Source organism: Homo sapiens, chromosome 2, assembly GCF_000001405.40.
Source record: "Homo sapiens chromosome 2, GRCh38.p14 Primary Assembly".
NCBI classification, from domain to species: Eukaryota; Metazoa; Chordata; class Mammalia; order Primates; family Hominidae; genus Homo; species Homo sapiens.
Genome location: NC_000002.12, coordinates 213,126,642 through 213,152,488, shown reverse-complemented (window position 1 = coordinate 213,152,488; position 25,847 = coordinate 213,126,642). Strand labels below are relative to the sequence as shown.

The window sequence follows — 25,847 nt, the reverse complement described above, 5'->3', positions numbered from 1 at the left end:
TAGTTTTTAAACTTGCACTGTTAAAGCACTTTCAAAATAGTAATAGTTGAGCTTCATCTCAGACATGAATGTCTTTCTCAGTCTATTCCCCAGGACCCCTCTTATCCCGCTTCAGGTCCCGGTCAATGCGGTGCGCTTTCCGAAATGGGGCCGCAGAGTTGCCGGCGGAGACCAGTAGGTGGGAGGCTCCACGCACACTCCCCGACTCGGCCGGGACGCGGCTCCCGGACTCCGCGCAGGGCGCCAAGATCGCCGCCCCGCTCCCTTCCCCCGGCCTCCCCACCAATCCCAGTTTGAAAGAAAACTTCACGCGGCCGAAATGAACGTCACCTCACCGCTCCAAGCCTCCAGCCGGCAGAAAACGTGAGATTTATTATGACACGGGGAGGGGAGATGGGGGTCGCCGTGGCACACTCGGAAGCGGGTTACCTGGCCCCCGTCGGGGGCGGGGTCCGCAGTCCGGGGACCAACGGGCTGGGGGCGACGCGGCCGGGCGCGCGGGTGGGCGCGAGGGAGTGCGCGCGTCGCGGAGCCTCCGGGGCAGCACTTGTCCTGTAATCGATTGCCGAGCGCGCCGAGCGGCTTAGCGCGCAGACACGCGCACACGCGCCCGCCAGCCCGCGCGCGCGCGCACACGCGCTCTCATACACACACGCACAGGCGCTCGGGCCCCGCACACACGCACGCGCGCGCACGCACGTCCGCTCGCCCGCGCCCGGGGCTCCGCTGCCCGCCGCCAGCCGCCCGCCGCCGCCGCCGCCGCAGCCGCCGCCAGCCCGCCCTCCGCCCGCGGGCGTCTGCGCGAGCCCGGCCGGCGGGGGAGATGTGCTCGGGCTCCACCGGATCGGTTTCTCGGGGTTTGACCAGCTGTCCCGGGCTAACCCTGCTCCTCGCTGAAGATGGAGGAAGTAAAAACAGGATTACCCTTAGCTACAGATCCACTGCCTTAGTTTCCACCACCAACTGCAGTGCACAAACACACGTTAGGCACAGGAAAGAAAGAAAGACAGAGGACACATTAACAGTAAACACAAACAAAAGGGTGATGGGATTATTTTACTGCATGCACTGCTGAGGTAAATCTCCGCTTGGCTTTTGCGTGGTGAAGAACAGCTCTTGTTTTGTCTTCTGATTCATAGATTATATATAAATATGTGTATGATTTGCAAAGGGGGGAGTGTTTTCAAAGTTAAGTGTAATTATATAGCATCTCGTTTTGCACTGTGATGTGATCAAATGACTTGTTGCTGTTAACCAGTAATAATAATAATAATATAGGTATTTTTCTCTGGGAGGGATGGATTGTGGTTCTGATTAGGGTAATGATTTTTGTAAAGGACGCTCAGGGAATCGGGTTGAAGATGATGTCCTCTGCCTTAATTTATCGTCCCCTCCTTGTAATCTGTTTCTGGGATGTTAATCGATTAATCAGTTCTCATCTCTATAGCTGTCATGAATTTGGACTTGTTTTGCTTTGTTTTAACTTGAATTCCAAGAAGAAAGATTGGGTAGGCTGGAATAAATTGAAGCTGTCCAGATAGAAGGTAATATCCAGATCCTGTTGGAATTAAAAAAAAAAAAAAACCAAAAACCCTGGTATGACACATGTAAACAGGCAGCAGTTAAATCACTTTGACAGGTTCTAGTATGGGCGAAAGAGATGGAATTAAGATTTATTTATTTTTTTTCTTTTTTGCCAAGGGCCAAAAACAGTCCTGTGAAGTTGGCCTGGGTTCCTAGCTGGGTTCTGCCTGACTGTCCCTCCCCTCTACCCGCCCCCCCCCCCTTTTCTTTCAGTTTTCTTGTCTTAGCTTTTGGTCGATTCTTAAGGAACCGGTGGATCAAGTTTTTTCTCTTGTTAATCGCATTGCTATAGCACTGACTGACCTCTCTCTCTCTCTTTTTTTTCCTCTTTCCTGAAAGTACGTGGTGCCATTCCTGAGTGACTTTTCCTACTAGACCATCCCTAAGGGACGAGGGGGAGGGGTGGAAGGAGGAGGAGGAGGAGGACGAGGAGGAGGAGGAGGAGGAGGGGGGTGTTCTTCTCTCTCATTTCTTGGTTTTGTTTATCAGCCGATCTGTTTGCTGGATTTGGGCTTGGAATGACCCACCTGTAAAGTGCTTTTCCTTCCTCCTCCCCTTGAACTCTGCAGGGGGCTTGGCTTGGAGGGGGCAAGGGAGGGAAAGAGAGAAGGGGGAAACACAAAAAACTTCTTTCTTTCTCCCTCCGTTTATCTTCAGCCCGACATTGTCACCTCCTCTTTGAGGGGTTAGAAGAAGCTGAGATCTCCCGACAGAGCTGGAAATGGTGATGAATCTTTTTTAATCAAAGGACAATTTCTTTTGTATGTACATTTCGTTTCTCTTTCTCCTTTTTCTTTTTCCTTCTTTCCTTCTCTGAGGGTTAATAACCATTTCATTGATGGGGCAGCCTTCTTTCGCTTCTCCCTGACGTTTCTTTCTTTTTAATATGTGTGTGTTAAATGTGTACATTTTTAAAGAGATAAGCTCATTTGTAAAATATCCGAAGAAACTGCTCCTCTTTTAAACTTTACGGATCTCTTTCTTTAAAGCCTTATGTAATCATAATTTAAAAGAATGTGATAACAGTACAGCAGGTTGAAATTTAAGTGCTATGTAGTGACTGAGTTGGGAATTTGATCTGATTATTCCATAAAGAAAGAAATAAAAGTTTTTTTTTGGGGGGGGGGTAAGGGAGTGTGGTGGTGAAGAAGGGGAGGGGAGGGAGAAGGGAAGTGGTTTTGGAGACAAGAAGTGAAGCTGCCTGTTTTCCAGTAAGTAATGGAGAAATTCCAGGAGCCAGGGCTAAATATACTTGGCGATCAATACAGAAATGGCTCATTGTGAATAATTTAGCTGCTGGTGCAGTGAGAGTTTTGAAACTAAAGGCAAAAAGGACCAAGGCCAAAGGGGGAAAAAAAAGTAAAAATCTTCTCAGGACTTGTCAATTCTTAAACTTTTTTCCCCACAGAATACAGTTAGATTATCGATCTTTTCATTATGTGAATCAAAGCTAGGGGGTGTCATCTCATACAGTTTACTTTTGTTTCTGAGAATTATGTTCTGTTGTGTGGCGTTTGTGCATGAGAATAATTGCCCAAAGTTTTTTTTTTTTTTAAATGATTCTCTCTAGCACAACCAAAGTTTATGAAATTTTCAAAATCAGACTGTATTAAGTAGGCTTGGCATTTGTGTCCAAGCATGGTCTGGCAGGAAATTAAGGTTACATTGAACAGGTGCTTACACAGAACTTGGGGTAGGTTAAAATGTCAATACAAGTCAGGGAGTTGGCCAACTGCTGTAGAAATCTTCAAGACACCGTTGGGCACTAAGTTTTTTGTTTTGTTTTGTTTTCTTATGTTTGTTTGTCCTCCCCCTCCCTATTAGAACATGATGAACCAACTTGCAACAATTGTGAATAGAGCTATCTGTATACTGGGGAAGTCCTCAAACTGCAGTGTGATTGTGGGAAGTAGTGAATGGTAAAACACTTAAATCCCAGTTAAAGCTGACACATTTGAGCTATACCCCCTATTTTTTCTTAAACCCAATAAATTTTGATTAAGAGAGTCATTCCCTTTTTGCTCTAGCCCATCTCACAGCACACTTATCTTTCCTATCCTATCTCCAGCAGGAATCAGATCATTTGCAGAAAGAGTTCAGTGACTTGCAAATGAGCACATACAGTACACTGTGTATGTTTCTGGGCACAGGTGGCAGCAGCAACATGGACTAACTGCTTGGAGCTTCAAATAAGTTAAGAATTTAATGGCAGATACTGAAAGGAATCATTGTATTAAGGGTATAATCTTTTGTTTTGCAGCATTGCACTTTGACTATGGAAACAGAGGCTATTGATGGCTATATAACGTGTAAGTATTAGTTTTCATTGATTTGTTATTGGTAATAAAGTTGCCTTTGTATTACCTGTGTTTTAATTCCTGGATTATGAAACTTTATTGAGAATTCTGTACTCTTTTTTCTCTCTGTTCACAATTTCACCTTTGAATGAGTTTGAGAAAATGACAGCACTGAAGTGAAATAAGAAGGAAATATAGAAACATACTAAGTTAAGTAGTGTACTTAAATCAATAGTAGCTAGCAGTTCAACACTTTCCTACTTTTTATAATTTACTTTGTTGTAAGTTGAGAATAGGCCAGGTTTCATATATGTCTATTAATATGGTGTGTACTAAATATTTACTTCTCTGTAACCTAATTTTTCAGACATATTATGTGAAAGAGAATTAGCTTTCCTAACTTGACATTTCTTTAGCTACCTGTCTTTTCCATCCTCTCTCTGATAGCCAGCATTTTGGAAAATGCTCATTATAAATTCTGTGTGCTTAACAATTAAATTAGATGTTAAAAGAAAAGTTATTTCTTTCAACTGAAAGATACTTTAGAAATCAACAACTTATGTATTGAGATAATAAAGTTTTGTTAATTTTTTTTATTGTGGGTTGATTATGGCTTCTCATCATTTCATTCAACTGTATATTTCTAAATGATATTTCCTTATAGTTTCTAAGGGAAAAATGTATTACCTTACAGTTTGAAGGCTATGCATGCCATTGCGTGTATAAAGCAAAGTTAGTAATTACATCTTATGTGACAATGAATAGAAACCAAAAGATTATATTTTGTGAAAGCAGGTGACAATGAGCTTTCACCCGAAAGGGAGCACTCCAATATGGCAATTGACCTCACCTCAAGCACACCCAATGGACAGCATGCCTCACCAAGTCACATGACAAGCAGTAAGTCTTCATTTTATGATTTTTTTTTGTGTGTGTGTGTCTCTCCAGCAACAGACTTTAATTTGTTAGGTCTGTGGGGTCCTCTCACATTGTGGTATAGCTACTGTTATAGATTTTGCTAAAGAAAGAACAACACAGATTTATTCCTGTTCATTCTAGTATTATAAAACATGAGCCTGCTTACTAGTCTGAACTATCCCAAGGTGGCATTTGGGAGCTGGTGCTTACCTGTATCAGGTAAGAAAGGTTAGAATTTGCTGGTTGTTGTTTTGACTTGCCAGGTTTATGACTGGATTTTTTGTTGTTGTTGGGTAAAAAATGTGGAAACGTCACTTCCAAAGGACTCTTCACAGTTAAAAAATGAAATAATTTTATGTTGCCTTGGTAGAAAGCTAAACCGTCAGTGATAAAATTACAGTGTTACTTGCTTTTAAAAAATGTGAAAGTTTCTTCTCCAAAGCATTGGAAGTGAAGTGTAATTGAAAATTTATAGAACTCATTTATATCCATTTCTGTAGCAAAGTTGAAAGGCTTTTGTCCAGAGAAGAACTGATAAAATTTGGAAAGATGTTTTGAATTTGTAGGAAAAGACAGTTTTGGCTACTGTTTTTGATAAAGGGTCATTTACTGATGTAATATACATTGTTTTTATGTAATAAGATGCAACTTACATGCTGTCAGTGACAGAAGACAAAATACTTTATTAAGAATATGGTTGCTTTTTTCTTAATTATAATATTTTATCAGTTTAGTTATCAAGTGCAAGTGCTTTATTACTCTTACTCAAAAGTAATTTGAAATCTTGTTTTCTTTATACTTTAGATTTATATTTTATTCTTACATGTTATAGAAAGGACATTGGACTTACATGTAAATATAATTAAATTTACAAGTTTTCTGTTTTGGCAATATGTGAAGGAAAGGCATTCTCTTTCCTTCCCCCCCCCCGAAGATTTAATAACTAAGAAAAGTGAATCATGTACTTAATTATGAGCATATTTGTAAATGTATTCTGACTATCCAGAGAGAGCAACTTTTTCTTTTTACTTCTAACAGCTCTCGAAACTGTAAGTTATTATAAAACTGCAAGCTTAGTAATTAGTAAATACTACTGAAATTTAAGCAATTTATATAGAATACCATTGAATACATTTTGCAATTTATTAACTTTAAGTAATTTTAGCTATTGACTTGAAATTATGATTGAGTTTGAATTTGCTTTATTTATTTAAAAGTTGTAATTCTTTTAAGTAATGAGCACTTCCTAAGAAAATTTAATTATAGAAGCAGTCCTTACAATTCCCGTATCATTTAGAAAGAAAAAACTAGTAAAGTTAGCAGGTGAATGTATACTAAATTATCATACTAATCTCATAATGAATCTTTTGCATTCATGTTTTTTGCTAGTTGATTTGATAAAAAATATACTATGACTACAATTTAGGCAATAGAATTTTTACATTTCAATATACTAGTTATTTGGTGTAATGTTTTTATTTCTCAGATAACTCACACAATTTCCTAAAGAGTAAAAAGAGATAATATGTAGTTTCTATTAGTTAGCTATTGGCTTTAGAAACATTGCATGTATAGGGTAGGGAGTAACTGTTAATCAGAGACTTGACTGTCATCCCCTAGACACAACCACAGGAAAATGCTTGTCAAGTGGTTAATTGGCTGCTTTATTTCTGAATTTGATTCTGGTTTTGCAAGTACTTGCTTCAGAAAGGCAGTTCACTCATCTTTTTAAATAAACAGTGCAGAGTGTAGGCATGATCAATTTGAACAAATAAGAACTGTGCTTTTGACATTTGAGCTTTTCTCACCCAACAACAGTAAACTTATGTTTGGTAGAGAGTTTTTTAACTTACTAGCCTGTGGCAATTCCATGTTAGTACAGGTTTTGGCTAAGATGCACGTGTTTTCAGGTTCTTTTCCAAAGAGTTGCAGGTTAAATATTTTGGCTCTCACTTCAGAGCTGTCTCTTGCATCCTTTATGTAGCCTCTATTTACAGTATCTAGGTTACCCACTTAGGTGTTAGATGGAGAAGATACCCATTTTTCCTCTCTGTTAGATCTAGGAGAATATCAGCATTTTAGATTGCCAAAGCAAATAGTGATAGAGAGGAACTCTCGTCTATTAATTAGAACAAGAGACCTAGAATTGGTCACTCTGATGTTTTTCTGTGACTTGGAATAATTTTTTGTGTGCATCTGGCCTGTCAAATCACTTGTGTCTGAGATCACCGGTTTTCCTAAATCCCTTTACATGCATTGTTGACTTTGTTTAATGAAAAGAACTTATTTATTTTCTGCATTTTTTAATATCTTCAAATATACTTCCTGGAGGGTGCCTGCTTCCAAAAACAGAATTGCAATTTTGATTGAAAGTGTTAAAGCTAAAAGTAAATGTGAAAACCTTTAAGACAGTTTCTAGTAGCAGGAAGGAGAGGATGGGAATATATGTGTAAGGAGGAAAAAAGTTATTTTTAAACAGTTAAAAAAATAAAATAAGTAAATTTTTTTTTTTTTTTTAGTAAAACAGCTAACATTCTGGCCAGAAAAGTATCAATAAGGCATGAGAGCTCACTTATTTTGGCTTTAGGAAGGTGGTCAGTACTACTGTAAGGTCCCAGCATTTGTTTAAGCTATTTGGTAACTCTTCTAAGATGAAGGGTTTCTGTGCAACTTGCTGCCAGCTATTGTATAAAAATAATGACGGCAGCTATCATTATTTGACAGTGCTAGAATAGAGCACTGGTGACTTGGGAGGGAGAGAACTAAAAATGTTATAATGCCTGACAGTTTTTGGTTTTAAAATTTAGCATCTAAGATAAACTTAAGAAGAAGTAAGAGGTATTAGTGATCCTAACATTTTATAATGACTACTTCCTATGGTTTTGAATGAATTTTCTTAGAGAACTTTAAACTTTTTCTTCTGGAATGAGGATGTCTTTGTTAAGAAGATGGACATTGTTGCCTGAGATCATTAGTGTACATATTGAGTCTGCTGACAATCTTCGGTGTCAGGGATGACAGTATATGCCTTGATGGCTATTGGAAATACACAGTGTTAAGTGATTTTTAAAAATAGAATCTGGGACTTAAGAATCTGAGACAGACATCTCAGACAGAACAATATAAAAATAATCCATATTGTATTTCGGCCCATCAGATGAAACTTACTTTGTGATTCCTTCTGTTTCTTGGTTAGCTCATTTCCAATTCTTGCATAGTTGTTCAGTATTGGTTTCAGACTGTTCTATACTGGCAGGTGACTATTTTGAAAATTGTTTAAAGTTCAAAATTTTTAAATTAATTTTATTTTTCTTATCTATTTTTTTATAATGTTTATGTATAAATTTACTTTGCAGGTAGTTACTTAAATGGGTATGAAAATACATCATGATGCAAAATTTGTTTCTATTACTTTAAAGCTGTTAAGTGGATCAACTGTACAGTCAATGCTATTTATCAGTCTGATGGCCAGGTGGCATGTATGGAATCGGAAGAAGTAGTAAGTCTAGTTTTACAAGGCTCTGACCAATAATCAGGTCAGGGAATCTAGTTTATTCTTTTCAGAGTACTTCACATTAATTTTTTTCTTAGCTAGTTTCCATTTTTAGAACCTAGCGAAGCAGAAGTATATTATGATTTCTATTTTTCATATGTGGAAATTGAGGCTTGAAGAAATCAATTTACCTCTTAGAGAACTTAGCAGAAAGATGAAGTTATCAGGATTGGGACATAAAATTGTGATATTACCTTGTGGGTTAGTTAGATAACTGCTATCTCTACAATGTCACCTTCTCAGGGTGTCTGCCGTGTCCAATACTGGCCCATATTTTTGTGACAAATATCTCAGAAATAGAAGAGTTATTATGAGGGTGGAGTGATATCAGATTATCTTTTCAGGCGGGTGTTCTAATGCACTTTTTGAAATAGAGCCTATATTATGGGACTTACCAGCTTTCTGAGTTTTCTTCTGTAGCTTAGTTTGGCAGTCACCCTTGCTTGGATTTCTGTAGGACACACCCTAATATAACACCAGATGGGCTTGATAGAAAATCTTCTGTTTTAAGTCGCCATACTTAGGTTTGTGTATATACCCAATGTACTTTACATTTAGTTCTTGTTTATTAGGGAATTAAATAAAAATAGTTCTGATTTAATTTCTTTACAGGTATCAGAGATAAATGTCATAACTATGTACCAAAAGAGAAAAAAAGGGAAAAAAAAGGAAAGTAAAAGAGGTATAGATTTGTTGGTAATCAACAGCAAAAGTGCTGTAACTTTTTCTTTGCACCTCATTCCGCTCCCAACTCCCTATCTTTTTAGTCTGCTTAGTACTGAGAATTAAAGTCCGTTTTCAAAAAACAAAACAACGTATGGCAGAAAGATTATCCTTATCATCTCTATCTTTGTTCAAAATCTGTCTTTCCCACTAGAAGTACTTTTTTAAAAAAAGGTAACACCATTGATTGTGTTCTATTGAGAGTCTTCCTGTAAGCCATAATGAATTTTCATCTCTGGGTTCCGTGCTCTTCTCTCCTAACTTTTGACATGTTGATATATTTTGAATATTTACATATTTTTATCATATTTGGAAATATCAATAGCAGAGTTCCAGTCCTAAAATGAGGTAGAATATGTTGTTTTTCTTTACTTTTTTCCCTTCTTATCTGTTTATGTTAAATGTATTTGTTGGCCTGTTGGTATTTTCCTTTTGCGAATTAATTGAGACCCAATATACCTCTGTTTTGATATAGGTAAGGAATATTTAGGGATGGTTTCCTTTATTATAAATGTTATAATCACCACTAGAGCGAGAGAAGGTAGAGGGGCATCCTTTATTGAGTGCACTTAGTATGCTAGATGCTTTACTTATTATTTCACTTTGTCTCCACATCAATTCTGTGAGGTAGGCATGTAATTACTCTATTTTATAACACTTAAAACTGAGGCTCAGAAGCAGTAGACTGTGAGTGGTTAAAAATATGGGCTTTGCAATTATGCTGGCCTGGGTTAGAATTCCTGCTTTGCTGTGTGACCTTGGCCATGTCACTTCACATCTCTGAGCTCCAGTTTCCTTATCCGTAGAATAGGGATAAGCAATACCTACCTCAATGGGCTGTTGTGAGATTTCAATAAGGCAATACATGCAAAATGCTCAGCACAACTTCTGGCACATGCTAAGACTCAATAAATAATCACTGCTGCTATTACTCAGAGCAGTCAAGTTACTTTTTTATGGACCTATGACTTGTAAGAAAAAGGGTTTGTTTTCAAATCCAAGTCTATTTGAAATCTGGGTCTTTTGCTCTTTTCTGTATATTGCACAGGTCCAGGGAAGAAAGATAGGGATTTCTGATAATTTAGGGTAAAAATTGAAGCAGGAACCCTCCGTTATTTAAAGCATCTATGAAGATTTTGGTTAAGAAAGAAATAGAGTTTGTCTATATGTCAGAATTGGGGAGGGGGGTGGCGCTCAACATTCCTGAGTATAGTTTTGTGGTTTTGATGATATGTAAAGCAAATCACTGCATATTATTGGTGTTCCAGATATACCAGTCATTACAAATAACAAAAGAAAAAAATTCCCTTAATAGAGTAACCTATTCCTACAGAGAATCAATTCTTAGAGAGTCCTCATCTAAAATCTAACCTCATTTGATGCTTCTGGTAGTACCATAAATTCTCACTTGATGATACCTAATAAAATTGTTGGTTTAATTGTTGATTGTGCACTTCGGGGGTAGTAGTTTAGATGTTCTAAATTTGAAGTAGGCTTAAATGCAATTATTAATTATAAGCATTTGACATTTTGCTGTTCAATTCTAGTTGATCAATTCAATAAATATTTGTGGGATACCTCATATGTGCCAGGTATTGTAAGGTGAATCCAAAGGTGAATAAAGAGTATAGAGTCCTTTTCCTCCAGGAACTCATACTCTAGTGGGACAGACAGACATTAAATAGGGCATTTTACTGTAGTAAGCTTAGTGTCTTGATTATTACGGGGGATGAGAGGTGGTGCTCATTTGGAAATATTTTTTAGAGGGGGAGACTGCTTGAGCCGAGACTTATTAAATGAATAGGATTTAGGAGTAACTGGAAGGCCTTTTCAATAAATAATATATCCACAATAAGAGGTGAGAAATAGCATGCAATATTCTGGGAAATACAAGCAGATTGGTATTTCTAGACTATAAAGTTGGAGTCTAGGAATTCGAGGCCAGGAATGACTTTGGAGAGTTAATCAAGGCAGGATAATGGAACATCTTGTATGAGAGGAAACTTGGCTTTTATTTTCATGGAAGTCAATGGTTTTAACGAAGTAGGTGACTTCAGTCTTTTGACTGACATGGATCGATTTGATTACAATGTGGGGAAAAAGATTGTGGATGGGGACCAGTCTCTAGGCAGGTGCATATTTAACAGGCTGTTTCAATGATTGAGTGAGAAGTCATGCAAGCTAGCAGTAGTGGGATAAAAAGGAAGGAGAAGGATCTAGGTAATATTTAGCATCTTAAAGTAGACAGTACTTGGGTAGTAGAATTAAGGAGACAATAGAGTCAAGGATGGCAACCTTTAAATTACGGGATAGATGGTGGTGGTAGGTTCTGTCAGTGAAGATAGCAAATACTGGAGCAGGTTTCCGGGAAAAGATTTAGCTTAGTTCAATTCTGGTTTGAAGCACCCACAGGGTACAATTTGGGAGAGGGATAGCAATTAGGCACATGGATATAGACTGAAGTATGAATTTTCCTAATTAGTGAAAACTAATATTAGCCCATGGTTTGGTTACTTTTCTGCCCATATTACTTTAACAGTAGTTTAATACCATATTTTGAAAACATTCATGTCTAAGTAATTCTCAGTATTTGATCAGTGGCCTTATTTCCTCAATTGCCCCATTAAATCAAAATTCTATATTGAGTTTTATGTGCACAGGCTTTAATAAACTCTTTGCTTAATGGAATCCTTTATACTGGTCTCAGAAGTTGAATTAATTGATGTGATTGACCCACTGATTTTTAAACAAAAAGCTCTTCAACATTTTGTGGTATATCTAATATCATAACTTCTGTTTTTTAAAAAAAATCATAAGATTAATGTATGCCATATACTCCAGTGCCTCTATTCTAATGATCTGTCTTTATTCTGTAACCTGTTTCCTTATAAATAAATATGCTATTGAAAATATTACATACTTATTACAGGTTGTTAGCTAAACATTGGCCAGTTCTGCCACATTAATAGCTAAGGAATTTAATACTCCTCACCAGAGCCTTTTTGAAGACTTTGAGATAAATATGCAGATACAATATATATTATTTTAAAATGATTTTGTATAGAATTAATATTTTAAAAATATAATATCATACCCCTTGGGATGAGGTTACCTAGATGGGACAGTATAGCATAGATAACATCTTAATCAGCATAATTATTCTGAAATATTTATTACAGAATTCCATCTTAAAAATGTAAGCGCTGACTACCCAAGACACCATAGAATTCCAAATGAATGTTAATGCTAGAAACACTTCTTCTGAGATTTCCTGTATGTGGAGATTCAGAACTCCTTAGAGAGATATTTTTCATCTTTCGATCATTGATCCAGCAAACATTTATTAAGCACTTACTGTGTATGATGCATTGCTGGTGCTGGGGCTCAAAAAATAGGTTTGGGGTGTTTTCTAGAGAAGGATGGTATCTTCAAGGGTCCAAATGAATTGATATTTTGTGTGAGATCGTAATACTGCTTATTGCATTTAGAAGTAAATGAGTGTGATGTGCTAACTGTGACTTACATCCATTATAGATTAATGAGCTGCTTCTCACCTTTTACCTCCAAGAGTTTTTCAAATGTGTGTAAATTTGAGGATGTACAGTGAAACAGACAAAAGGGCAACAAGCCACTTAGATAGGTTCTCAGAGGATAACATTTCCCCACAAAATTATTTATAATGCAGGATTTGGCACTCATCCTTGCAAGTTCTGAAACTAGATTTGTGGCACACTTAGAGTGGATCTGTATCTCAAGGTTGACTGACATTAAACAGGTTTACAAAACTGATATTTAAAATCAGAATGCCAATTTATGTTTAGATATTGATTAAAAATAAAGCACACACACACACACATGCAACCAACAAACATAGGAGCTGGATCACTCCAGTTGGCTTGACTAGATCATTTTGTTCTTGTGAACTGACCTATATGGGTAATCAGTAAAGGTCATTTACTGAGCAAGGAATCTGAATAAAGGGAGTTAGTTATATAATTCAAATGTTTAATGGCATTAGACTAAGAGAACCTAATATATTCAGCATCACAATAGAGATAGCATTGCTATTTGGATAATTATGGTTGAAGTCCTTTGTCCAGTTCCCTCTCCTTTTAATGGACATGGATTTAGATTCCCTAGTTCAACCAAAATACTTCTGAGATTCATTTTTTTTTCCCCTTGGCTTCCTAGGCTAAATCCCCCAGATTCAGTCTGTAACCTATATTAATACATACAATCAGGTTACGACGAGTTCTTTCTGGCCTGAGATCCATTCATTTTCTTTAGTGTGATTTATATTTCTGCTTTAATTTGTAAAATGTTGATTTTATAGCCTAACTTTATGAAGACAATCTTATAGTGCCCATAAAGGATACTTCCTTCAACTACTATTGCCATAAATTCGAACTTCCATTCACAGAAATCTCGACAGCTGATGTGGTCAGCAGTTTAAGAGTTCTTAATATCTATTTTAGATGAAGATGGAAAATAGCACTACCACCTAGGAAAGATCCTTAAGTTAGCTGGTGATATAGAGGCACTTCCAGTTTATAGGTCAGAAGGAAAAAAAACACCAAACCAGTCTCATGAAATTATTGAAGTGATCTGACCGCATCAAATGAGATTTTATAGCAAACTGTTGTATTTCATGTTAGTTAGTAGGAAAGCTGTCTTAATTACTGAGTGTGAATTAAGTAACTTTTCAAAGCATATAGATTTATTTGTGGGCCACACCTTGATTATAAAGAAATTAATCAGGTTTTCCAGATGTGAATCTTTGGGGAAAATGGTCATATCTCTTCATCCCTAGCATATGCATTGTATGCATTGTAGGAGCCCTGTAAATATTTGTTGAATGAAGAAAATACTTAAGATTAGCATATTACATATGTCTGTTTAAATAGTATGCTTCTGATCTACTTGAAAAAATTTGGAAACTTGATTTCTTAGTTGTTGAAATAATCCAAAAATCCTAATTTACTTGTGATTTTCTCTGTTTGGGGATGTGTTATTTTTATAATGTCTCACTCTGAAAAAGATTTTGTAATCTTCAAATTGGTCCCAAAAGCTGATCTCTAAGTTTCTAAACAGTTCTTATGTTTTCTGATTCTATACAACCATGTTCAGTGGAATCCACATGAATGTTAATGTAGATGTTTCCATGACACCACCATCATCATCTTCATTACTACTATTAATATCTTGATATAGCACATTTAAGGTTACAGATTTAATTCCATATACTTGTAATTTTAAAGCCAGTTCTCCATCACTTAAACTGTTTTTAGTAGCATGTACAAGATGGAATGCTTCAATTAGCTTTTCTTATGCACTCCAGATATTTTGATGAGTGTATAATTAATCAGTGTGAAGTCACGTTCTAATAAATTAACATTCTGGGTGTCTACACTTTTGACGTTTTTGTCATTGCTCTCATTATCATTGAAGCTGTAGTTCTCCTTACCCTTGTCTATGTCAGCTCTACCTACTTCTTACTAAGACATTCAACATGCAGGACTTGATCTTATTTTGAAGTGCTAGGGTACTACGTTGCTGTGTTTTCAGTTGAATTAACAGTGAGAATTTCTGGTTGAGTTCTAAATAGGCATAATTTCTTCTACAAGTATATAAAACATTTTCTTTCATGGCCATTTTCATAAATATCCTTGTTTTGTTGTTTAAAAATACACATTTTAACAAGTAATATTTACATATGGAAATATCTTATAGGTCTTCTAATCAGACTTATGCCAATATGCTTATTATTCAGATGGTCTGAAGTAGATGACTTTATTTTCAATACATCTGTTACTTTTTAGACTGAAAAGTGGCATTTCTATAGTTTTTAGGGCTGAGGATGTATATTTAATTCGTGATTGTAAAAGGTCTATTTCTATTAGAAATGCTTGCTCAGATCACCCAAATATCATCTAAAGCTTGAAAATTGAGCTATTCAATAATTTTTAGGTACTAAAAATAGGTGGTACCTAATCATTTTTGTGTACTGCTTTAAAATGACTTACGCCTTAAAAACACTGACTCGAATGTAGTATTTGGAAATGTAAAATGACTTCTATTACATTATTACATTTTTGAAAACTACTTGAAAGCAGCAATAGATTGTGTCTGGACATAACTGAGAATTATAAAAAGAAATATGAGATTTTTCTGTGAGTCTGCTGTTTTTAAGTTCTCGAAGCATGAATTTACACACTGCCATCTGTCTGAATTATGACACATTAATGACCTAATGATAGTTTTAGATTTAATTTTTTTTTGGAAATAAAAACAAAAAGAAACACCCCCGTACCTCAACAAAACACAATTTAAAATAAATTATTTTTTACATAAATAAATCATAGTAATGCTGTTTGCATAAAGTTTTGGGGATGCATTTGAATAGTTTTAGTTGGTGTTACATTTTGAGTACAATACCTGTAACAAATTTGAAGAGATATTTTTTCAGCCAGAGAAGCTATAGTTAACTAGACAATTGATTTCATACAACTCTATGTATATGATAATACCATTTATGTTTTTAAAAGCATATATGTGCATGTGTATGCGTGTGAATGTGTGAAAACAAATAATAAGAACAAGAAGGAAACGTCAAAACTTGATATAGTTGACTTTGGGATATCGGAGGGTAAACAGGGTGTTTTATATTTTATTCTAAATAGTTCTACATTCTTTAAGTCTCTTACAAAAAATAAATTCATATATTATTTGTGTAATTTAAAGAAAAGACCAATGAATTCAGTCAACCATCCTCTAAAAGAAAGTATGGAGCCAGAAAACTGATAGTAGCTCTGATTACATCCATTTAACTTTGAAATTTCAATAAAATTATAGACTCATAAAAATGATCAGCTGTCATCAATGATAAATACTGAAATCAGGCATTTTCATGTACAAATGATATCTTCAGATTTATTGAATACTATTTTACTATAGATTTAGTCAAAATATAAGGTATTTTCTTTTTCTTTTATTCTTTCTTTTTTCTTTTCTTTTTCTTTTTCTTTTTTTTTTTTTTTTTTTTTGAGACAGTGTCCCGCTCTGTCACCCAGGCTGGAGTGCAGTGGCGCGATCTTGGCTCACTGCAACCCTTCACTCCCAGGTTCAAGCAATTCTCCTGCCTCAGTCTCCCGAGTAGCTGGGATTACAGGCGCCCATCACCACGTCCAGCTAATTTTTTTATTTTTTAGTGTAGACAGGGTTTCACTAAGTTGGTCAGGCTGGTCTCAAACTCTTGACCTCGGGCTATCCACCTGCCTCAGCCTCCCAAAGTGCTGGATTACAGGCATAAAGCCACTGCCCCCGGCTCTTTCTTTTCTTTTTTCTTTCTTTCTTTTTTTTTTTTTTGAAACGGAGTCTCGCTCTGTAGCCCAGGCTGGAGTGCCGTGGCGCGATCTGGCTCACTGCAACCTCCGCCTCCTGGGTTCAAGCAATTCTCCTGCCTCAGCCTCCTGAGTAGCTGGGATTACAGGCATGCCACCATGCCCGGCTAATTTTTTTTTGCATTTTTAGTGGAGACGGGGTTTCACCATGTTGGTCAGGCGCTCTCGTACTCCTGAGCTTGTGAGCCACCGTGCCCGGCATTGTATTCTTTTCTTTTCTTTTCATCTCTTGTCTTGTCTTCTCTTCTCTTTTCTTTCCTTTTCCTTTCTTCTTTCTCTCTTTCTTTTCTTCCTTTCCTTTTTTCCTTTTTCTTTCCTTTTCCTTTCCTGAGATGGGGTCTTGTTCTGTTGTTCAGGCTGGAGTACGGTGTCACGATTATAGCTCAGTGCAGCCTGGAACTCCTGGGCTCAAGCAATCTTCTCAAGTATCTGGGGCTACAGGTGCATGCCACCATGCCCAGCTAATTTTTAACAATTTTTTTTTAGAGTCAGGGTCTCACTATCTTACTGTGTTGTCCAGGCTGGTCTTGAACTCCTGGCCTCAAGTGATTCTCCCGCCTCAGCCTCCTGAGTAGCTGAGTTTACAGGTGTGAGCCACCACACTTGGCTAGGTTGTTTACAGTGGCATTTCCAAATAATGTTATATACTCTGAATTGTTTTATGAGTAATATTCATTCATAGCATGAAGTGTCATACACTAAATAATGTACATATAAATATTAAAATGACATATCAATATTAAGGAGACATTGTGGCATCTGATGGCAAAAGAAATCTGAGTAGAATGAGTTAAAACATAGATTTTCAATTCTATCTTGCATGTAACAAACAAGTTTACTTTTAAAAAAGAGCCTTAGTCTCTTTTTCATATTCATCAATTTAAAATTCCCTCGAATGTTGCTAATTTTTTACATTAAAACTATTAAAGAGAAACTATTTTTAGCAAGACAATTCTGGTATGTTGCTAATGGAGGTAGGACCTGCGAAAATAACTTAAGGCCTATAAAAGAAAGAGCAGAGCTGTGAAGTATAGAGAGCATAGAAGAAAGCTGGCAAGAAGAAAGAAAGAATAAAAATAACAGATTCAGAAGTGGAGGACAAGCCACAGACTCCACTTGAGTTAGTAGATCCACTGGAGAGAGCAATAGAGCAAATGAAAAATAGCGTCTTTTCCTCCCCTTTTTCTTTCTTCACAAAAAAATAAATAAAGAGAAATCAGAATTTATAAGTGAATCAAGGAAGCTGCCTGCTTAAGTGATGAGGAATGTGGCAATAAGATTAGAATGGTTTCTGGTAGAAGCTAAATGAATAAGCATTTAGATTCGGGAGAAAGAAGCATACTTCTTCAGATATTTGAAAGCCAGGGAGTAGGAGATGGGGGTAGATTGGTTAAAAGAACTGGGTCCTAAGGGATTGATTCTAGAACAATTAGCCAATTAAAGCAGGATAAAAGTTAGTGGTGCCTAGTTATTAAGTTATATTAGTTATAAACCAGTGCTATTATCAGTGGCCATCTTGGACTAATCTATTGCTTTTATCTTTTGCAAAAATGATTGTGTACTATACTGTGTGTGTAAGAGATATCCTAACTGGTCGTATTCCTAAATTATCGTGGATGCGGTAAACTTTGATCTTGCCCCTCAGTTGTCTTTTTACTTTAGTTTAGTGGGAAAGGAGATTGGAAGGGGGTTAGGGAGACTGTAAGGCTGCCAGAAAGAACTTTCTCTGCTTTTTTTCCCCCTCTTGGGAGATGGCAATGAAGAAGGAACTTGATATTGAGCAGATGAGATGAGGTTTTGCATCCAGTTTTTGTCCTCTGATCGCTGGTTTTTCCATTTTCCTCTCGAAGTGTCTAAGACACAGGCACTGAGGGTTCCAGAAGACTTTCTTGAGATCATACTCTGTTATTTAGAAGGCTCAGGTTGGCTTTTACCCATTGAGACATTTTTAAAAAATTAATCTGCTTTAATACTGTAGTAAAAATTTATCAGTTGTGAGATAAACTTTACATGTGTATCATTGTTGAAGAAAAGGTTTACTAAGCCCATAAATAACAATAATAAAAAGATCAGGGTATATGTTTAACTTGCTTAAAAAAACAAATTTTAAGTCTACTAAGAATACCATTTTATTTGTAAGGTACTTTTTTCAAAATGCTTTTACATCTAGCATAGAATGTGCTGATCAAAACTTGAGCTTAATATTTATGCAACCAGTGTCAGAGTAATCTACTCTTTTTGATAGTACTTAGCATTACTGGAAAATAGTGAATATTTATTTTATTTATTTATTTATTTATTTATTTATTTTTTCGAGACGGAGTCTATCTTTGTCGCCCAGGCTAGAGTGCGGTGGTGCGATCTCGGCTCCACTGCAACCTTCGCCTCCCGAGAAGCTGAGATTACAGGTACCTGCCACCATGCCTAGCAAATTTTTGTATTTTTAGTAGAGACTGGGTTTTACCATGTTGGTCAGGCTAGTCTTGAACTTCTGACCTCAAGTAATCTGCCTACCTCAGCCTCCCAAAGTGCTGGGATCACAGGCGTGAGCCACCGTGCCTGGCCAGTAAACATGTTTTTAAAAATTACAGAATTGAGCAAGTTTTCCTGTTTCTCTCCCTCTGTGGTATATAAAGAAGTGGGACCTAATATATGTCAAATGTGAGGCCCCTAGACAGATATTTTATCTCTTGGAAGCTCAGCTTTATTTGTAAAAAGGGGATATTGCTCTCTGTCAGAGGAGTGGTAAGCATTAGACACAATATATGTAAAGCTTCCAGAACAGTGACTGGCTCATGGTAAGTTAGCCAGAATGATAGCTCCTATTTTATTGTTAGATAAAAAGAATATGAGAAAAAAGTTGAATTACATAATAACTAAGAAACAGGTCCCACAAACATATATCAAATAGTCTTCTAGGAAGGACATGCTTTTAGTCCGCTTTTAATCAACAATAATTTTAAAAATTAGTCCAAAGCATTGCATGGAACATAACATATCTGGATCACTTACTGAATATTTCTGCTTTTCATCTGTTTGAGTGCTGTCAGGTAGACAGACTCAGAATTTTTGTTTGAAAAGAAATGTGTATGCAGATATGAGACAATTATTAATTCTGTTGTATTCAAATCAATTACTGAAGAAATGAAAGTAAAATTACCTAATTAAATTGAATCACACATAAACCTACTCTGTTTGTGACGGGTATAATTGAAATGGTAATTAAGTGGTAGTAATGCATTTCATTTGAGGATGGCAATTCAGAAGATGTGTTTGCTGGCAGGTCTTGGCTGCTTGGTGTACCTCCCTAGGTGACCTTGTCCAGAGTGAGTTTTTAGGATGGACTTATTTACTTGTATAACTAGATGTGTTGGTGAATGAATTCCTAGTATAGCTCTGAAATTTTATTAATTTCCATACTTATGGTGCTCTATGTGTTATATTAAATTCATGTCTCTGTTGCATATCTGGAATTCTCAGAACCACATATACATACCCCAGCAGTGTTCTTTTTTTCTCTCTTGTGTAGAATCAAGGAGAAAACAGAATATTCAGTTTAAAAGGATTTCACATTAGAGTACACATAAACAGACATTTTCCTGAGTGAAGTTTCACCTTTTTTGGGTCAGAGTTACTATTGTCATAGGCACAGGACAGTCGATCCCTAATTCCAAATGATCTTTTTTTTTTTTTTGGATGCCTTTATCACCTCCTATCCTGTTTTATCATTGCTTAATTTCTTGAGTACATCTTATCTCCTTTGTGTGACTGGAAACTCCTTGAGGGCAGGGAAAATGACTTTGTAATCTCTGCAGCCTGAGGGTAGCAGACAGAATATGACTTTTAGCACCTAACCGACTGGGATAGTATCTTTCCTATGCTGTGTTTTAGTTACCTCATTTGTAAAATAGGGAAAGTTAGTGCTTGTCTCTTGGAGTTGTTGTGAGGGTTAATAAACTTAGTAAAGCTTTTATCACAGGGCCTAATACATTTTAAGAAATAATTTAAGAAATATTCATTTATCTTTTCCACAGAAGCTAACACAGTGCCTTATACATAGTAGTCTCTCAATTAAGAAGATTTGCTGTTTATTTTAAAATATATTGTGAGTTAATATCCCTATGTGTTGGTTATCTGATTGACTGAATGCATTAGAGACGTCTCTCAGTTATTCCAGACATTATTATTCAGATTAACCCCACAGGTTACTTCAGTTATGCTATCTGTGTTGAGGATACCAGAGACCAAATCACCCAGCTAGTCTTACCCAGAAGGCAGTTTTAAAATAAATGCTCTAACGATGGCTCTAGCTTAGACAACTTTTAACTCTTTTCTCAACACTCATTCAAACAATACTACATTGGACTAAAAGCTTCTCAAGTACATGACTTCAAAAGCTTCACATGGCTTCAAAATATACATCTTTTCAGCCAGTGTCACTCTAGAATTTAGAGATGGATTTTATAAAACACTTTAAGGGATACCTAGAGAATCTTGAAATGTATATACAAACAGGTCAGAGGTATTATTGGAAAATCTTAAAGATACAATTTAAAAGTTAGTGTTACTATTATTATTTTGAGTAATGAATATTTCTGATCTTTATGATCCAAATCTTTCAAGTCATAAATCAGTCATTTAGTAGATATACATGAAAATGACATGTAATTCTAATGTTGTTTTTAATAAACTTTAATCCAGTAGCTAAATCTCAAAGATCATTTAGAATCCTATGAATCAAATGGCTCTCCCTTAAAACTGTTAAGACAGTTCTGTTGATTCCAGATTGTGAGCCAGACCTCCATTTTCTTAGAGGAGTTGTGATAATTATCACATTTGTCTACAATTATTGTAACAGTACTTGGGTTCATATACACAATCTTTACAAAAGATATTTCCCCCAGTTTTATCCCAACATTTACATTCCCCCTCAGTTGAATTCTTACTAGAAATATTTGCTTAAATATGTCCAAGCAATTTGTTACATGAGCAATCATTATCTAGTTTTACAAGCATTTGTTTGTAATCATTCCTATAGCTGCAAGAAATAAGGCAGTATATTTAATAGCTTGAAGAATACCATGTATTCTCTTTGTTTACATTGTAACAGATCATCTTCTTAAGAAGTAATCTTTTATTGTATCTCTTTCACTGTTTTCTTTAACGTTACAAAAAAATTTTGTGTTATTTGGAAGCTCATGAAATATAATTTGCTTGGCGTATGGTTCTGTGAATTAAGCCCATAATATCTAACTGGCATATATAGGAAAGCAATGTACTTAATCCTAACTGAACTGAAAATTCAAGCTTGTATCCATATATTTTTAGTAGCAATTTAATGATAATCAAGTCATATGCATTTATGTGCCAAAAAGAACTGTTTGTGGTAATCAATCTGTAATTTTCTGTTTGACATTTTTTTCCTTTGAATTACTGTAAAATACTTTCAGCTACTAGTAAGATTATTTTAAATCACAATTAAAATTGATTTTTCCCTGCTTGGGTGGGTCTTAAGGTTGGTGGGGAACTTCAGTGCTCCCCCAAATGCTTCCTTTTCAAGTGTGAAGTTTACGGATATTTTGGATCTTACTGTGTTCTCAGGATCATGTCTCTAGGTAGGCACAGCTTTGATGACTGATGTCTATTAATTGTGTTTGTCAGTTTATAACAAAGCATTTATTGCTCTAAAATGCTCTCATGCTTTGGTATTTTGACTTCTTTCCTGCCTGTGAGAGACCCTAGCTTAGTGATTAGTTTTTGTTTCTGAGTTTCTGTTTTTACCAAGTGTTTTTATTTTCTAGATTACTGGCTATTGGGATAAAGGAAATGATCCAGTTAGAGGACATCAGAAAACTAGAAGCTTTTGATAGAACAACAAGATCTAGTGTCCCTATCTAAAGAGAAGAAATAGAGAAGGTGTGCCTTCATTAGAAGTGTTACAATCAATAGCTGCCAATTACTTAGTGAGCAGAAAACATCTGGTACTCACCTTCATCTATTTGCAGCCTGTATATCTTTATGTACAGGTCCTCTTCTCTCTTTCTCAGTTTATTTCTTTAGATACTGTAGATGCTTTCATGACTTTCAACTCTGCATCTAGCACTGTTTCTTTCCTCAAAGGAAATCCCACATCCAGTCTATCAGAAATCCTTGGCTCTGCTTCTAAAATACATCCTGAATTTAAACAATTCTCACCAGGCCCGCTACTGTAACTTTAGTCTATCATCATTTCCTAGTACCTTAAGCCTAAAATATTGCAACAGTTTAACCGGTCTTCCTGCTTCCATTCTTGCTTCTCTGTAGTTTGTTTTCCACACAATAGACAGAGCCTGACTTTCTAAAACCCAAATCAGATCATAACAATTCATTGCTTTAAACACAAAAGCTTTCCACTGAAACTAGAATACAACTAAAATTCCTTTCCAAAGTCTGTAAGGTCCTAAAGGCTGTGGCCCTGCCTCCATCTCTGACTTCCTCTTCTCTATTCTTTCCCTGTTCACTGAACTTTTAATACCTCTTCCCTTTTTCTTTTCCGGGACATGGCAAGTTCGTTCCTGTCTAAGGACCTCTGTACTTGCTGTTTCTTTGGTTTGGGACACGTTTTCTTCCTTGTTTTGCATGAAAGCCTCCTTCTTTTCTTATTTCCATTTAACTGTCGCCTCCTTGGCGAGGCTTTGCCTGAGCATCCTAGATAAATAAGCCCCTCTCCAGGCATTCTATGACATTATCCTGTTTTATTTTCTTTATTATACTTAATAGTATCTGAATTTACTTAATTTGTGTATTTATCTCTTCTCCCAACACACAGTTGAGGAACATTTGGCTTGTTCATTCATGTAGTAGGGCCAGGAATGTAATAGACAATAAATGTGAACTCACAGATGAACTGACTCCTTGTTCTTTCCCTTCCATAAATAGAATTCTCTGTGTGTGTCTATAAAGCAAACAAAGTGTTTTACACTGTAGTGTTCATTCTAAACCCTCTATTTTAGAAACCTGTACATTGAGGCGAAAGTCACATGGGGAGAGAGTAGTACAACAACGATTAAAAAACCTTATCTTGGCCAGATGTGGTGGCTCACGCCTGTAATCCCAGCACTTTGGGAGGCCGAGACGGGTGGATCACCTGAGGTCAGAAGTTCGAGACCAGCCTGGCCAAAATGGTGAAACTCCGTCTCTACTAAAAATACAAAAAAAAAAAAAAAAAAAGAAAAAAAAATTAGTGTGGTGTGGTGGCCTGCACCTGTAATCCCAGCTACTCTGGAGGCTGAGGCAGGAGAATAGTTTGAACTTGGCGGGTGGAGGTTGCAGTGAGCTGAGATCATGCCACTGTACTCCATCCTGGGCGACAGAAAGTGAGACTCTGTCTGAAAAACAACAACAACAACAACAAAACCTTATCTTCTGACTCTTGGCTTGGTGTTCCTTGCTTTACATGATACACTCTTATGTTTTGGGGTGAGGCCCTGTAGAAGTAGTTAAGAGTACTGATTTTCATATTACATAGACCTGGTTTGGAGTCCTGGCTGTGCACCCTACTTTTGGGTTAAGCCGTAAGGGATTACTGACACTCCATTGTTTTTCAACCTAATAGCTGTGTGACCTTAGGAATGTTCCTTAGATTTCCTAAATTTAGTTCCTTCAGCTGTAAAATGGTATAATAATAATAATACTTGCCTTAAGTTTTGAAGAAATAAATGTAACAATTGCATAGAGCACTTAGCTCATTTTTTGGCACGTTTGCTGTTGTGATTTATAGACTGCAAATATTTGCATATAGCTTTTTAATATTTATTAGATAAGGCTTCTAGGGTTTGAAAATTAATGAATACCAACCCCATTCTAAAGTTACCACTTGCATTCTAGGAAATACATTTGTTTTGCCTTGTTTTAAGATTTAGAATACCTTTTTTATTAAACAGACAAACAAAACAAGTTTGCATCCTCACATTTCACCATTTCACAAATCTATTGTGGTATTTCACAAATCTATTTTATTTTATAATGGTAACTTTATTTAGCTTTTTCTATTTGCTTTTATATTATACTTAATAGTATTTTAATTATTATGGTTGATCATCATGGTAATTTAATAGCCTCTTAGGAAGGGAAATGCTTTATAAAAACAATCAAATCTAATTTCTTTAGTTCCTAGGATATTTTGGAAATACATGTATTCTTAAGTTAGTTAATTGGGTGGAAAAATTGCAGTTATAATTCTTTAGAAAAGAATGTTGACATATCTAACCAAAAATTCTGATGATAGATAGGACTTAAAGAGAAAATGTAAACAAGTGTGTTATTGATTTCAAATTACTTTTATTTGGGTTGGATTAGCTGTCTTTATGCTAGGACTATTTGTGTGTAATATAGATCAAATAAGGTGTTCAGAATGGGATGAACTATCTGGAAGGAAGTGGTGTTATCTATACTACTACAGCTGGAAAATATGACAATTACAAACTTAATTGATCAATACCGTATCACATCATTATTCAATGATTAAGGACTGCTAGGTGAAACTGACATAATGGGGTTTTCTTTTTGGAAAATAGTATCTTAGTTGTATTGGTATTCCACTGGATATTTAGTAAAAGTGCTATTTACTGAGAACATCCTTAGGATTTAGAAAGAGAACTATGTAGTTTTATAGTTACAGAGATTCTGGTGCAGATTTGGGAAGAGGTTTGAAATTAGTATGTAAAGTCAGAACAGCATGACCTCAACTAATGTACTGTTTGCCCTTGACCCCTTCTCCACAACCTGCCACTAATGAAAGGTCTTTGATAAGTGTAACTGCCTTATACCCATTTTATTTACAGTTTTCATAGCTAATGAATAATAAGAAAATTCCACCAGGACCTGATTGTTTACCTCTCTAATAGCAATTTACAAATGGTGTATGCTGTGGCTGTTACAAACCGTGTCCTGTAATAGCATTTGATGTAAGTAGCTGCTCACCATTCCATATTGTGGTTGGAGCTGGAGAAATAGAAAATTGGTCATTTCCCGGCAGATAGCAGTAACTTTCAATTCAGTCAGAATGCTGTATGGGCTGTGATAGGTTTATAATTATTACCCAAAGATTGATGGTTTTTTGGTGTGTGTAAATTTGTGCAGCAGTAATCCATTAAGAAATCAATAATCATTCCATTCTGATGTGTAGTTCCTATTCACTGTTATAAATGTGTACCGTGAGCTGAAACCAATGTGTTTTGCTTTGTTTTTTGAAATTGTATTTGACAGTATTGGAAATGAGGAAATTATTATAATATTTTTTCTTCAATCAAATTTCTTTTTCTTTGTGTTCCCTTGTACCATATGACGTACCTATTGCAAGTCTGCATTTTTCTTTGAAAAATTTTATTTAAA

General features: G+C 36.2%; 1 protein-coding gene across 30 annotated transcripts in view, besides 4 other annotated features; it reads left to right on the top strand.

Annotated features, from left to right (window-relative positions):
- The first annotated feature begins 32 nt into the window (after positions 1 to 32).
- The window catches only part of IKZF2 (IKAROS family zinc finger 2), a 152,759-nt gene continuing 126,944 nt past the window's right edge, over positions 33 to 25,847 (top strand). For 3 of the 30 annotated variants that reach the window (XM_047443727.1, XM_047443725.1, NM_001371274.1), the window contains exons 1-3: positions 33 to 363; positions 3,845 to 3,893; positions 4,677 to 4,781. In XM_047443727.1, coding sequence (XP_047299683.1) covers positions 3,860 to 3,893; positions 4,677 to 4,781 — 139 coding nt within the window. In that variant the 5' untranslated portion in view covers positions 33 to 363; positions 3,845 to 3,859. Of the gene's footprint in view, positions 364 to 876; positions 1,077 to 1,852; positions 1,923 to 2,051; positions 2,346 to 3,844; positions 3,894 to 4,673 lie in introns of those variants that run through there. The other 27 variants (XM_011510819.4, XM_047443724.1, NM_016260.3 and 24 more) reach the window with 21 other exon arrangements.
- Positions 287 to 646: a silencer, noted in NCBI's record as "silent region_12295". NCBI's record gives its function as "represses an Ori minimal core promoter by ATAC-STARR-seq in GM12878 lymphoblastoid cells {active_cell/tissue: GM12878}" and the evidence as "EXISTENCE:reporter gene assay evidence [ECO:0000049][PMID:35858748]".
- Positions 727 to 786: a silencer, noted in NCBI's record as "silent region_12294". NCBI's record gives its function as "represses an Ori minimal core promoter by ATAC-STARR-seq in GM12878 lymphoblastoid cells {active_cell/tissue: GM12878}" and the evidence as "EXISTENCE:reporter gene assay evidence [ECO:0000049][PMID:35858748]".
- Positions 3,153 to 3,252: an enhancer, noted in NCBI's record as "active region_17061". NCBI's record gives its function as "activates an Ori minimal core promoter by ATAC-STARR-seq in GM12878 lymphoblastoid cells {active_cell/tissue: GM12878}" and the evidence as "EXISTENCE:reporter gene assay evidence [ECO:0000049][PMID:35858748]".
- Positions 4,954 to 5,003: an enhancer, noted in NCBI's record as "active region_17060". NCBI's record gives its function as "activates an Ori minimal core promoter by ATAC-STARR-seq in GM12878 lymphoblastoid cells {active_cell/tissue: GM12878}" and the evidence as "EXISTENCE:reporter gene assay evidence [ECO:0000049][PMID:35858748]".